The sequence below is a fragment of the Homo sapiens genome, chromosome 7, assembly GCF_000001405.40.
Source record: "Homo sapiens chromosome 7, GRCh38.p14 Primary Assembly".
NCBI classification, from domain to species: domain Eukaryota; kingdom Metazoa; phylum Chordata; class Mammalia; order Primates; family Hominidae; genus Homo; species Homo sapiens.
In genome coordinates, this window is record NC_000007.14 from 111931851 (window position 1) to 111946946 (window position 15096).

General features: G+C 39.4%; 1 protein-coding gene across 14 annotated transcripts in view; it reads right to left on the reverse strand.

The window, feature by feature from the left end:
* The window catches only part of DOCK4 (dedicator of cytokinesis 4), a 480290-nt gene that overhangs the window by 205741 nt on the left and 259453 nt on the right, over positions 1-15096 (reverse strand). For all 14 annotated transcript variants that reach the window (XM_047421081.1, NM_014705.4, XM_006716189.3 and 11 more), the window contains exons 9-12: positions 13867-13948; positions 12961-13021; positions 8260-8392; positions 3690-3778 (exon numbers count right to left, since the gene is read on the reverse strand). In XM_047421081.1, coding sequence (XP_047277037.1) covers positions 3690-3778; positions 8260-8392; positions 12961-13021; positions 13867-13948 — 365 coding nt within the window. The remainder of the gene's footprint in view (positions 1-3689; positions 3779-8259; positions 8393-12960; positions 13022-13866; positions 13949-15096) is intronic.

Below are 15096 nucleotides of genomic sequence, written 5' to 3' on the forward strand. Positions count from 1 at the left end.
TTTTTCTTTTAATCTTCCCAATATCCCTTAGAGGATTCAAACCTAGGACATCCTGCTTGCAGAGAAAAAGCTCTTAAATACTACACTATACTCTCTAAGAGATGACTCCTGTCTGTAAGCAGAGGGAAATGTGTGGTTTGGTTTAACTGGAATCCTGACCTTTAACGCAGGCCTTAAGGATACAGGATCACTTATGTTAGAGTCTATCTAGAGATATAAATCAAAGCCTACCATTGAGAACTTCACCAACATTCCAGAGGCAATTGGGTATGACCTCAGAGTTTGGACAATTATATATTCAAACAACCTAATAACAGATGAATGTTGTCCTGCATGAGGCATATTTGAAGTGGGAAAGGACTGGGAGATGAAAAGGAGTTGGGAAAGACATGTAGCCAACAGTTCAGCATATCATGGTGAGTCAAGACCACATCTATGATGGTAGGAAGGTCAGGGACTACATGTGAAAAGTCAGAAGGTCAGGATTAGTTTGGTATTTGTTTATCCATACTGAGGGCAAATGCAAGCAAATTAAGGTAACAGGACGCATAGGGAGAAAGAACAAGATACACCATGGTTACCAACTCTTCTATTCACAGTTAATAGGCAGAAAGAAAGGAGCAGGGCATAATGGATTTGTTTGTGATCCATAAGAACTTAAAAAAATGCTAGCCTTTAAACAGAGCCTGGAGTAGCACTGACTCAGAAGTATAATGTGAATCATGAATGAAATTTAAATTTCCCTAGTAACCATGTCAAAAAAGTAAAAAAAAAAATTTAATAGCATACATTATTTATCCCAATATATCCAAAATGTTATCATTTCAACATGTAATCAATATGAAAATTATTGATGGGTATTTTACATTCTTCTTATTGGGCCAAGTCTTCAAAATACGGTATGTTCTTTACAATTACAGCACATCTCAATTCTAGTGGTATACTAGGTTCATGTCTAATTGTCAACAGCAACATATGGCTGCTGCCTCCTGAATTGGACAGCACAGGTCTAGGGTAAATTTAATGACAAAATGATGGTCACTGGTATCAAGAAACACCGAAAGGTTTAGAGTAGAACTGGATTTGGCTGGAAGTCTACCAATGAATTCCACAAGATGTGTTCTCTAACAAATAGCAGCTCTACTATCTTACTGAGGGGGTATTGAAATTAAACCATTTTATCCATGGACAATCAGGAGAAGTGTGTATATATATACATATATATACACATATATATACGTATATACACATATATATACGTATATACACATATATATACGTATATACACATATATATACGTATATACACATATATACGTATATACACATATATACGTATATACACATATATACGTATATACACATATATACGTATATACACATATATACGTATATATACATATATACTTATATATATATACATATATACATATATATATATATATATATTTTTTTTTTTTTTTGAGATGGAGTCTCTCTCTGTCGCCAGGCTGGAGTGCAGTGGTGCGATCTTGGCTCACTGCAACCTCCGACTCCCTGGTTTAAGCGATTCTCCTGCCTCAGACTCCGGAGTAGCTGGGATTACAGGCACGCGCCACCAGGCCCAGCTAATTTTTTGTATTTTTAGTAGAGACGGGTGTTTCACCATGTTTGCCAGGATGGTCTCAATCTCCTGACCTTGTGATCCACCCGCCTTGGCCTCCCAAAGTGCTGTGATTACAGACGTGAGCCACCGCACCCAGCCGAGAATTGTAATTGTTTTGTGGGAAAAGAGAAGACAAGCATACATAGTAGTTCCATGTTGTATTTCATTTCTCCTGTCTCGTGTGAGTCTTTTAGAGATTCTGCCCTCAATAGTAAGTGCTCCAAGTGTCTTGTTTGTTTAGTGGTAGATGCAGGACTTTGTCCAAAGCAAAGGGCCATCTGCATCAAATAAAACCCAAGTTATCTCTCCAACTCTAAGGAGAGGGAGGAGGAAACTGACCTCACCACTCATTATAGTCTGAAGCGTTGCCACATGTGTGAGTTGGAGGTACTTATGGCTCTCACTGAACTGAATGACAAAGCTCTGTCTACAGTGGTTTTCTCTTTGCGGTCAGTTTGGTCTAGCAAGATGTGCAAGGCTCTGAAAAAAGAAAGGCGGTTTGAATTTAAATTCTGGTTCTCCTAATTGCCAGGTGATCTGGACTGCAACAAAAATATCTATATTCAAGGTGTTTTTAAAAATCAGTCTTAAAAAACAACACATTCAGTTCAAGAAACAGCTTACTTTATTTGAAGTTTCTTTATATCGATTAAAGCACATGACTGCATACTTTGTTTTGCTTCAATGTGGGTCTGAATGGTGGATAAGAACAAACAATATTCACCAAGTTTTTGTCTACTGACCAAACCTAAAGATGTCATTATTTATGCTATGCAATCTATATATGCTATATAATGTAGTATATACTATATGTTACTAGTACAATACTATGTACCTCATACGACTTATAGTGGTATATATTTCAGTTCCTCTCTGAACAAGCACACACACATTTTTCTTCACATGCCACTGCAATCAGCATCACTTTCTTTTTTAGCCAACTTCAATGTGTGAACCTGTATGTTTGTCAATAATGTTGCTGCTCAAAGCCAGCCATAGGCAGCGAAGCATGTTTTGTTTTGTTTTTGTTTTTTTTTTTTTTTTTTTTTTTTTAGACAGTGTCTTGCTCTGTCACCCGGGCTGCAGTGCAGTGGCGCGACCTTGGCTCATTGCAAGCTCCGCCTTCCAGGTTCACGCCATTCTCCTGCCTCAGCCTCCGGAGTAGCTGGGACTACAGGTGCCTGCCACCATGCCCGGCTAATTTTTGTATTTTTTTTTTTTTTTTAGTAGAGATGAGGTTTCACCGTGTTAGCCAGGATGGTCTCGATCTCCTGACCTCGTGATCCGCCCGCCTCGGCCTCCCAAAGTGCTGGGATTACAGGCGTGAGCCACTGCGCCCGGCCGCGAAGCATGTTTTTATTGGACCTCACTAAAAATTGCTATTTATCAAACTTATTTCCACAGAACAGTCACAAATCCAAGCATCATATTTGTCATGTGATTTTTAGCTTGCTTTTTTTTTTTTCTTTGAGACAGAGTCTTACTGTGTCACGCAGGCTGGAGTGCAATGGCACAATCTCAGCTCACTGCAACATCCGCCTCCCAGGTTCAAGCAATTCTCCTTTCTCAACCTCCCGAGTAGCTGGGATTACAGGCACCTGCCACCATGCCCAGCTAATATTTTGTATTTTTAGTAGAGACGGGGTTTCACTGTGTTGGCCAGGTTGGTCTCGAACTCCTGACTTCAGGTGATCCACTAATCTCGGCCTCCCAAAGTGCTGGGATTACAGGCGTGAGCCACCGTGCCTGGCTGATTTTTAGTTTTCAATAACAACTTAGGAGTATGAAGACTTGGTACCAAAGAACAAATTCAGATTATCTTTTTCGTTTCAACAAGAATAGAATACATTTTTTATAGGGAGTTATAAGTACAACCCTATCATAGCATAGGAAGACATACCAGAATGTTCATTGAGCATTTTTAAAGTTAGGGAGTGAATAGACAGAAAAACAAAGGGCTGATAATTTCCTTCCCAAACAGACAAACAAAAAAAAGGGCTTGGAACGAAAAGTGTAGGGAAAGTCAGCCAGCCCATACACTCACCTGCATTGGAGCCAGTCAAGTTATAACGTGCATTCAGCTTTTTGATGATGTTCTCATGGATTTGGTACCACTCACTCTCTGTGTTACACCTATGAAAACATTAACACTCTGTTAAGCTTTAATGATGCATGCAGTCAAGCAGTGATCCTCATAGTACATCTGCCCTTTTCGTTATAACCACTATAATGTACCTCCTTGAGGTCCCCATCAACCTGCTGCAACTGACTGTCAGTTTTAGCATGGTTGTCCCAGGATGAGCAAGAATGTCCGTATCTGGTAATGCCTGACCACCTACCTCATGACAGAAGCAGCTGGGATAACACTTCGCAGATTACAAGTGGCCCCAAAACAGACAGAAATCTCAGAGAACAATGTATACAGGGGAAGGCAGCCCCAACTGAGTTCAACTCCCCAGATTCAAATTCTCACTATTAACCAAGCTATGTTCTTTAGGTGAGTTTATTTACTCTTGTCTTAATTTCCCCACCTATGAAACACAGATAATATACTAGAACTTTAAACTAACATGGGCTTAGGGTAATTCCTGGCATATAATAAATGCTCAGTAAATTAGTTCTCATTAGCAAGTCTCTGCCTACTGTAACATGACCAGGTTTGTCCAGAATCAAAATGCAGCAAATTAAGCAAAATGAAATTGACATTAACACAGCTTGTACTGGCAAAAGACTGGCAGGATTTACCAAAGAATAATAAAATTACTCTTTCAGATCTTCCACATGGGGCATCTCTCCGTCTTTTCACAGCAATCTGTACCTCTTTCTCTTAGCTTTTATCACTCATTAGGTCATGTTATCTTTGTTTACGTGGTGTAGTTCACCTGGGAGACTGTTAAGGTTCTTGAGGACTGGATCTAGGACTGGCTGATATTTGAGTTTCCTTTAGTACTTTGAATGCTGTGGATGCTTAAAAACTGTCAGTGGTATGAATGGATGGATGGATGGATGGATGGATGGATGGATGGATGGATGGACGGATGGATGGATGTCCCTCTGCCTGGTAACTCATAATGATTTGTAAGCATGTGGTTCTGTTATCCATCCTTACTGCCACTACTCTCCCAGATTGGCTGGGGAAAAGTTCCTTCATCTGAACATATGTGTAAATTCACTACTTTATTAGCCATGAATGCATCCTCCCAAGAGGCCTGAACATCAAGATTCTGTACACTATCAATCAAAATCTCCCACAGCGCAGGTTCTGTTTCCTAGTGATCAAGTCTGAGGCAGATAATTCATAATTGTTTGCTCACATTTTTATTTATTTTATTGCCACAGGATTTTGCAGGATGAACATGATGGAGGTGATTTTTGAGCCAATTAACAGTGGGATATCTAAATGAGCGCCGAATCTTAAGAGGGCTGGAAAATTAAGATGGAATGAAACCATCCCACCTGTCTAGTTGTAAGACACCAAACTGCCATTTAGCACATTCTGCCTCCAGTTTTCTTATTTCAGCCCAGTGGGGAAGAAAGAAAGATGGCTTGCTTCCTATTAGATAGTTAAGTGATTCCAGAATTCATGCTTTTAACCTACAAAACTCAAAACTCAAAACAAACAAACAAACAAACAAAAGCTCCTAAAGTATGTGACTAAAGTATCTTCCAGGCTCAGGCAGGCATTTGCTACTGTTCTTTGAGTCCCAGAAGGGCTGGGGGTTCAGTCACCTTATCAAATAGAAATTTCTCCCCAATTTTTTCTAACAGGCACTTTCCCATGTTTGACTAAATTCACAGTTCCTTCCTAATCTACAGTGACTGTTTTGACTGGTTAGTATTACTCTTGAAACAGCATCACTATTTGCTGAATGGGCATTTTTCAGGAATTTATCTTCTATTAAGAATTACCCAAAACCTTATTTGATGCTTATGGAAAAGCAGACAATAAAAAAAAACACAAAGAGCAGAACAATTTGTCTTCATGAGTGTGACTGTCTCCCATTGGCAGGGCTGGAATGCATAGGTCTTATTCCGCTGGCTGCCTCATAAAGGGTGATGATGGGACTGTCTGTCCCTCTGTTTTCCCACTGACAGGATAAATACAATACTTGCTACTCACACCTGGAAAGACTACTTTAAGAAATGATGAGAGTGTGTTTGTGAGGAATTTCAGTTTGCTTAAAAAGCCACATAACAGCAGCATCATCACCTTACTAGACTATGGTGTGAAATAACACCTGGAAAAATACAAATTATTAACTGGAGAGCTCAGATGCTGGAGCAAGACAGTCCTGACCTCAAATCTGCTTCCTTTTCTTATTAGCTAGGCAACATGGGGCAAGTTATTTAACTCTCGTTCCCCTATGAGTAAAACTGAGTAGGAGCGTCTGTCTGCTTCATGGGTTTGTTGTGAGGACAAAAGGATACGACACATGCAAAGTGCTTAACACAGTTCCTCACACATAGTAAGCACACAGTAAAGGGTGGTTATTATCAGTCATTAGCATTTCAAATAAACTACGTTTTATGACCACCAGTTAAGTATGGAAAGAAGGGTATCATGGATTTAAGCTTAACCACTGAAATTGAGGGTTGCTATGTGATAAAAAGAGTAGCAACTTTTACCACCCACTAATTTCACCAAAAGTTTTCAAGTTTAACATCAACATCACAGGTGTTTTCCTTTTTAAGAGGGATGAAGAGAGTTACCGGTCCTAAACCACAGACTATAGATAAATCTTTGTCAATGAATTATTGAATGTGTTACATAGGTCCCATTGGATGGAGAGTAGAAAAATCCATGAAACCCTGCAGCAGAGGTCAAAAAGGCAATTTTAAGTATATGTCCCATAGGCAGTGGGCCACTTGTGTTACCATCACCTATGAAAAATCTACTGGCACATATTAGGTATATTAACACAACCTCCAGAATGGAATACGAAAGCCAGTTCACTCATGGAGGTAGCCAATGGTGTGGTCCTCAAACCAGGAGTGTGGAAACCCTAATAAGTCTGCTCTGAAGATGTTGCTGTATATTAGGCCTCAACGTCCAAGCCTGTGGGGAGGTGGCACGGTGGTGTGGGCCAAACCCATGTGCATTTAAAAAAATCATTTAACTTAGGATTTGGAATATATCAAGTAACTGTCTTAGTAGAGAACCATGGGTTAAACTGTATCCCCCAACAAAGGTAACGTTGAAGTCCTAACCCCCAGTACCTCAGAATAAGACCTTATTTGAAAGAGCGTCTTTACAGAGATAATCATATAAGAAGGTTATTAGGGTGAACCACACTCTAATATGACTGTATCTTTATAAAAAGGAGAAATTTGTAGCCAGGCATGGTGGCATGCGCCTGTAATCCCAGCTACTCAGGAGGCTGAGGCAGAAAATCTCTTGAACCTGGGAGGCGGAGGTTGCAGTGAGCCGAGATTGCTCCACTACACTCCAGCCTGGGTGACAGAGCGAGACTCTGTCTCAAAAAAAAAAAAAAAAAGTTGGGGGGGTGGGGGATTGGACCCAGAGAAAGCCATGAACACCATGTGAAGATGAAGGCAGAGATCAGAGTGACGCGTCTACAAGCCATGGATCCCCCAGTGACTGCCAGCAAAGCACCGGAGGCCAGGAGAGAGGCACGGAGCAGATTGCCCTCACAGCCCTCAGAAGGAGCCAACTATACTAATATCTTCATCTGGGAAATGTGAGACAACACATTTCTATTGTTTAAAATCTATTTATGGGCTGGGGGTGGTGGCTCACGCCTGTAATCCCAGCACTTTGGGAGGCTGAGGCAGGTGGATCACAAGGTCAGGAGATTGAGACCAGCCTGGCTAACACGGTGAAACCCCGTCTCTACTAAAAATACAAAAAATTAGCTGGGTGTGGTGGCGGGCGCCTGTAGTCCCAGCTACTCAGGAGGCTGGGGCAGGAGAATGGCGTGAACCCGGGAGGCGGAGCTTGCAGTGAGCTGAGATCACACCACTGCACTCCAGCCTGGGCAACAGAGCGAGACTCCTTCTCAAAAAAAAAAAAAAAAAAAATTTACTTATGCCTAGTGTTCCATTATTGGAATGCTAAGCATGTGGAGTTATTTATATCCTACTGCTCAAGGTCATCGCCGAGATAGGATTGCAAAAATTTCAAAAAATTGCAACCTCAGGCATAAATGGGTTAAGCCATGCAGTTTGTGGTACTTGGTTAGGGCAGGCCCAGCAAACTAACACCTAGAGTAGGATGGAAGTCATCTGGGCTTCCCTTCCCCAATTCTAATAAATTTACTTCAAAAAGTACTTTCACTTTCCAAGAACACATTGACTGTCTGAAGGTAAAGACGTGCTAGGTTTATAAATTCAAAGGTGGTATCCCACATAGTAGACGGTCTACCTAACTGGTAAACTGTCTGTACTCATTGGTTCTTAATTCAGTAATTCCTCTGACTGGCAAATTGTGGCTTGTAGGCTCACTTGCAACAAGTCTACAGATTACTGGGTTTTTGAGGAATGGCTCATAAACCACCCATTGTTCTTCTCTACCCACCTAAAGTAGCATTCGCCCAAGTAGGACCCACATGTACCCCTGTGCCTACCCCAGCCATCACCACGTGCATGTTTCTTACATGTATACTTTCAGAATGAGGTCATCCTTTGTCTCTCCTGTTAGCAGGTCAGCGATGCTAAGAACTGCACAGCCAAAGGGTCGTCGGTACTGGACACTACAGGCATTCTTTTTTTCTCCTGCTCCCATTCGACCTGTTCAATTAAAGAGCAATCATTAACCCATGGAGCCATTTGATTAGATGCATCTTAGGTAGCGAAACATACAGCTATAAGATAGGCCATTGAAATGTAATTGGGCAATAAAGAGCACCCAGGTTGGGCGTAACAGAAGATATTGCTTCAGTTCTGGATTCTCCTCTCCAGTCACCTAGCTGTGTGACCTTGGGTAAGCAGCTTAAATTCTGGGCGTCAGTTGCCATCTGTAAAATACAAAGACTGGAACAGATCCCATGTTTGGGAACCATCCCCTGGCCCCTGAGATTCATGAAGGCATCCCAGGAAGTTCACGTCACTAAAGGCAGTAATGGTGACTCTTCCATTTTCTATTTTTAAACAAATTCCATATTCAAAAAAACTATTTCAAAAATTTCACCTGTGACTAGAGTAGTTTGAGGTTGTCTGAAGTACAGCAAGTAAGCACAGGTGATCAAATGTGCATGCTCCTGCCTCAGCTCTCAGGCTGTTCAGAACTCAGTTGTCACCAAAATGGTTTTAACTGTTGTAAAGTTTTAACTTGTTTAAATTGTTACATGTTTAAAAATATGTTATTAATACATTGTTTTAATGTATTGTTGGTATTTAATTATCAGTGGATTATTTTGAAGACAAAAAGCAAAAAGTACACTGAAGTTGAAATATAACAAGTTAATGTGGGAAAAAATGATTTTAAAAATCTGCAAATTTGTCTCTAGGTGCTTTTCAACACAACCATAAATTGTTTCTATCTGAGCAAAATTCTCCTATAGCACATCAAGATATCTCCAGCAATTCCAAAATCCAATGTTAAGCAGGAAAAAATGGGATGACAATATCCAATTTGGCTTTCATTCATCAGTAGTAAAGGAAAACTACCTCTGCAAGATGTCACTTTCAGGGAAACACAGCCCGAAAACCTCTTATTTTATCAGTTAGAATCAAACTAAAAAATGGCCCAAATAAGCCAGCTGCTTTTCAGATGTGCAAAATGTAAGAATTTAAAATATCAGGTTGTCATGACCTGATGCCATATGTATGGCCAAATTTCACTCTACATAATTTTAATATAAATTCTGTCTGAAAACCGAACACTTTATGTCATACTTGAATTTAATTATCAACCAATCCTACTTTTACTTACACAACTGATTTAAACAAATTTAAAACTTTGGTCACTTTTTTAAATGAAAAAAAAGGTCTCAATTTATGTCTATTTTGAATAATATTACAGAATGTATTAGGATGAAATATTAATATGTATGGCAGTCTTTATCAATATCGTGGTTTAAAACATGCTTTTTTCTTAATCATTTCCTTGCAAATACAAGATGACAAAAGGATAAGATTTCTGAGTGGAGCACTTCAAAGTTATTTAACATCAGAAAGAAGCTCCTTATTAAAAAAAAAAACTAGAAACTGCAAACAAGATTATTCCTAATGACTCTGCTAGCTCCTACAGTTTACACAAGGGCATGCACACATTTCAATCCTTTTTTGTTTGTTTGTTTTTAAACAACCCCTTCATCTAAAGCTGCACTAAAGAAAAAAAACTGTAGGGGACAGAAGGAATGGCAAAATAAGGGAATAAGGTTGATGGGAGAAGTGTAGCTCTCACAACCACTTAACACTCTCCAACAAGGATTTTGTCACTTGTGACCCCTGGGAAGCTTATCTCCCAAACCTCCACCTGACTCATGTCTTCAAACATGCAAGTTTAACGTTAAGCCACGGCTTTAGACACCATTCTAATTACTATACTGGAAAGATGTTTTGGTGCCAGATCAGTGGCACCAACCCTAGAGTTAATAAGAATTCACAGTTCTGACTGGGCTTTGGGAAACCCGATCAGATTTCTAGCACATTCTCTAAGTAGGAAGGAAGGTAGTGGGAGTGGGGGAAGGGAAAAGTACTGAGCAATCAACCAAAAGTCAAAAGGGAGGCATAGAGGTTGAAGAAACTTCCTGGCATGAGCAGGAAGATATAAAACTATTAATTTCTCTTTTTTTTTCCTCTCCATCTTTCTAAAGAGCTGGACTTAAATTCCCAGAAGTGAGGTACTGTTGCTCCTGCTTTCTGCAGCCAGTGATGGCCAACATGCCCTTTTCCTACTAAATAGGTACAAGAGACATTCTGTAAGAAGTATGTGTCCCTTGTTAAATATAGTGAACGCCAAGTTTCTCTTCAAATAATCAGTATGTCAGCATGTTCAGCTCTCTTATTCTTTGATTCTCCATTTTAAAGTTTAACTTCCTGGTTCTCTTCACCGCCTTGCCTCTAGTTTCAATAAAAAACTTTCCTGCCAGTTCTGATCAGTAGTTTACATCTGTTCCCCTGGTCACCTGCTCTGTCCTGACTCATCCCGGTCACCTGCTTTGACCTGAGTCACCCTGGTCACCTGCTCTGACCTAAGTTACCTTTAGTTACCTGTTTCTAACCATCCTTCCTGCCAAACTACTCACCCCGCCACTCTGGCTTATACTCCTGCTCTTTTCAACATAGTCAATCAGAATTAGCTTAGACTGTGCGTCCAACCCTAGCAAATAGGGGAACAACAGAGCAGTAGGGGCTACCTGCGTCAGGAATAAGAACTCCTTCCCCTCCCCTGTCCAGGTGTGCTCTTACCATTGTTCCACCTGTGAGAGGCACCCTTTCTGCAGAAGGTAAAAATTGCCTTGCTGAGAAAATTAATGTTTGAGTGCTATTTCTTTGTGGCACTGAGGAACAAGCATTTTGCATTTCTAACACCCTGAAAGACAATGATCTGCCACCAATTTCACTCCATCAAGGGAGCTGGCAGACTAAATCTTAACCTATCTTAGTGTATTTTACCTTAATCTCACTTCTCCTTCGGTCTCAAAATGTTGAACTGGTAAATGTTTTTTGCAATAATCCTAGAGAAGTATTCATTTGCCCAAAACTGAAGACAAAGATAGGGAGGTAATTTCTGACTCAACATTCATTTTAATGACTTAATGACCATAACAATGTTAATAAAAAGTGCAATTACAAATCAAACACCAAGCATTTGAAAGGCTGCCCTGTGATGGGCAGTACTACTGAGGCGGCTTCCTTGGCAATAACACTGTGAGTGAAGTCCATGGGCCAGAAGGCACATACTCACTTTGCTGCATGTTTTTTTACCACCCCAAATCCATAGATATCTTGGAGAAAGTTCTGAAAGCAAAAGTGGTTTACTTTTTCTCTTACTGCTGTCAGAGATTATATTAAAATTTTAGCAATGTTTACATGAAGATATATAAAACCACATTTTACTTTAACCATTGGTATTACATTTGAATTTAAAGAAACACAGACTAAATGACAAACTACCTCTGCCATCCTGAGAACAGACAGGCTTTATCTCATAAGAAAACAGCAGCATGGGTTCTAACTATTCCAACCTTTTCAAAGATTCTTTCCAATTTTTTTCATAGACTCATTTATAAAAAGAAAAATGAAAACAAAACCAAAAACTGTCTATTTTTTATTTCTACTGTCCTTCAAATACAAAAATAGCATAAAATGAAAACAGGTTTTCAGAATAGATTTTTATGAGAAAAAACATACAGAAAATCTATGCGGGAATAAAAGTATGTTTTTTATAGTCTCACTCAATGCACAATGCAGTTATCGTGTACATAAAACCAAAGCCTATAAAAATAAATCACCTTGCAGGACTACATGGCAAGATATTACTATCTCACAGAAGTATTCCTAGGCAAGTAATGGAGTACAGTTAGTGAAGAAGTGGGAATGAATTCCCAATAATGACTGATTAGACTTAACGGAAAAACTGTGTAGGTTACACCAGTCCTCATTTCACCTAATTCCTCTGCCATAAAATGCCTGTTTTTAGAGGCATTTTATGTGTAAAAATGAGGGAACACATTCTGGCTTCACTGAGCAAGTTCATCACAGAACATTAAAGTGGGTTCTGCAAGATGTTAATAAGTGCTACATTATATAAGTGTTTTCATAGTCAGATCAAATTTGAGGAAAACTAGGGTCAACAAAGTTAGACAGGCATATTTATTTTTCCCTTTAGGACTTCTCAGACCCTTTAATAAGCTGATGACATTATATAAGTTAAAAAAATTCAGTATTCAGTATTTCACAGGCTTTTTTTTTGTAGCACCTTCTGGAATAACGCTCTGAAGCATTCTGCACTTTGGAAAATGCCAATTTATACAGAGCCTTCATTAACTTATAGGAAACTCAGCTCTGAAAAATTCATTTATGCTAACAGAAATTAGAATTTTAAGAGACAAACACAGAATTTTTGAATCAAATATGTTTAGGAAGGCTAGCAGAACAAAATGAAACACAACAAACTTCTTAATTACTTATATTAAAAGAGACCAGAATCTGTTTATGGTAGGTGAGGAGGTCATATGTGGGGTTGGGAAGGTCTGGGGACAATTCACAACTTCTGTGATTCTTGGATTCAAATCTGGCTTTGATATCTTTCTGATTCAGACAGCAATAAATCACAACAACATAGAAACCTCTTGGCATTTCTCCTCTCTGTTCCTTGCCCCTACTGCACTGACAAGTGTTATACCTACCGATTCGGATAATGTGCACGGTGATATAAATGTCCTTTCTTAGCTCACTGCTGCCCAAATCCTACAAACAAAGAAAGTTTGGTTATTTTGGAAGACATGAGCGGCACTTAAAGGGCATAGCACTTTATTTTCACAAATAAAAGAAGAAAGAGATGGACACAGACATTCTTAATGGAATGTTTGTAGCAGAAGTACATGATTTAAATCCTGTTCTAAAAATATCATTACAATCAACCTTAGGTCAATTGATACCAAGTAATACTTTAAAGAAGAGAGCACTGTTGATTCAATCTCTCACTCATTCATTCTTTAAACATTTATTAAGCACATACTAAATACCAGGTGTCTTGCTGAGTGCAATCACTGGTTTTGTTTTTTGTTTTTTGTTTTTGGAGATGGAGTTTCGCTCTTGTTGCCCAGGCAGGAGTGCAGTGGTGCGATCTCAGCTCACTGCAACCTCTGCCTCCCAGGTTCAAGCAATTCTCCTGCCTCAGCCTCCCGAGTAACTGGGATTATAGGTGCCTGCCACCACGCCTGGCTAATTTTTGTATTTTTAGTAGAGACGGGGTTTCACCATGTTGGCCAGGCTGGTCTTGAATTCCTGACCTCAGGTGATCCACCCGCCTCGGCCTCCCAAAGTACTGGGATTATAGGCATGAGCCACCGTGCCCCGCAATCACTGTTATACTTTGGTAATAGTATAACAGAAGCAGTAATACACTAAAGGAATGAAAGTAATCCTGGGAGGTGATATTCAGAATTCTGGGCACTAATGTAATTTGTGTGTTATTTACATAAAGTTTAAAAGCAAATTCACTATGTTCTCTCACAGTAATTTATTTCTCCTAAATAGTATGAATCATAACTGGATGAATCTGCCTTATGAATGAAACAAGATCCACTCACCACAAAGAGGGAGCAATGTCGTTCCGGTTTATCAGGGGCTTTGGGAAGCCCGTTTCTATTCAGCCTCAAGAAAAATCTCTCACTACAAGAGAAAAAATGTTTAACAATTTGAAAATTATTTAATAGTTAAAGATTTATCCCTCTGTAACTACTCTTCATCACAACAGGTAAGCTAAATATTAGGTTGTTCATTTAACATCAACATTGCTTATATAAATTAGGAGAGCTCCGAAGACAACAAATATTTGCTTCACTTCTGTTAAAACTGGCAAAGCAGCAACTACAAAAGCAGAAAGCACCTATATACAAACAGACATTAACTTTTGAAAGACTTGAATACAATTTTATATCAGTAATATCATTATTCCAAGAGGTAGAAATAAATGCACTAAAAGAGAAAAATATGACATAACATGTTTCATGTGTCTGTAACTAAGATTTCTTTTTCATGTTTTATGTCACATTACTTAATTAACATTAAAGATATTTTGAGTGCTAACTATCTATTAGAAGGCTTCATATTTTATGGTCTTATAAGTCTCCAATCTGTAACACAAGTAGAGATTTCAAAAATGAAACTTAAATTTTCTTTGGTCAACAAACGAACAGAAGATCTCAAACTACCCCCACTAAACTTGCATTTGAAAATACAGTGCCACCGGGAGCTGCGGTGGCTCAGAACTGTTGTCCTTGCACATAAGGAGGCGAGGCTAGGCGTTTGAGGCCAGCCTGGGCAACATAGAAACCTCTCACCTATATAACCAAAAAGAAAATACAGTGCCACCTAGATTTAATGAAAACACAAATAATGCTGTTGATCAGCCACTAATTCATAGCAATAAATACTTATGCATGCCATTTATTTATTTATTATTATTATTTTGAGACAGAGTCTTGCTCTATCACCCAGGCTGGAGTACAGTGGTATGATCTCAGCTCACTGCAATTTCTGCCTCCTGGATTCAAGAGATTCTCATACCTCAGTCTCCTCAGTAGCTGGGATTACAGGTGCACACCACCACGCCTGGCTAATTTCTGCACTTTAAGTAGAGACAGCATTTCACCATGTTGGCCAGGCTGGTCTCGAACTCCTGGCCTCAAGTGATCTGCCTGCTTCGGCCTCCCGATATGCTGGGATTACAGGCATGAGTCATTGCACCAAGCCATGGATGCCATTTAGATCCAAGGTAATGTGTGACACTATTTATGTTCAGCAAAATAAAACAAATA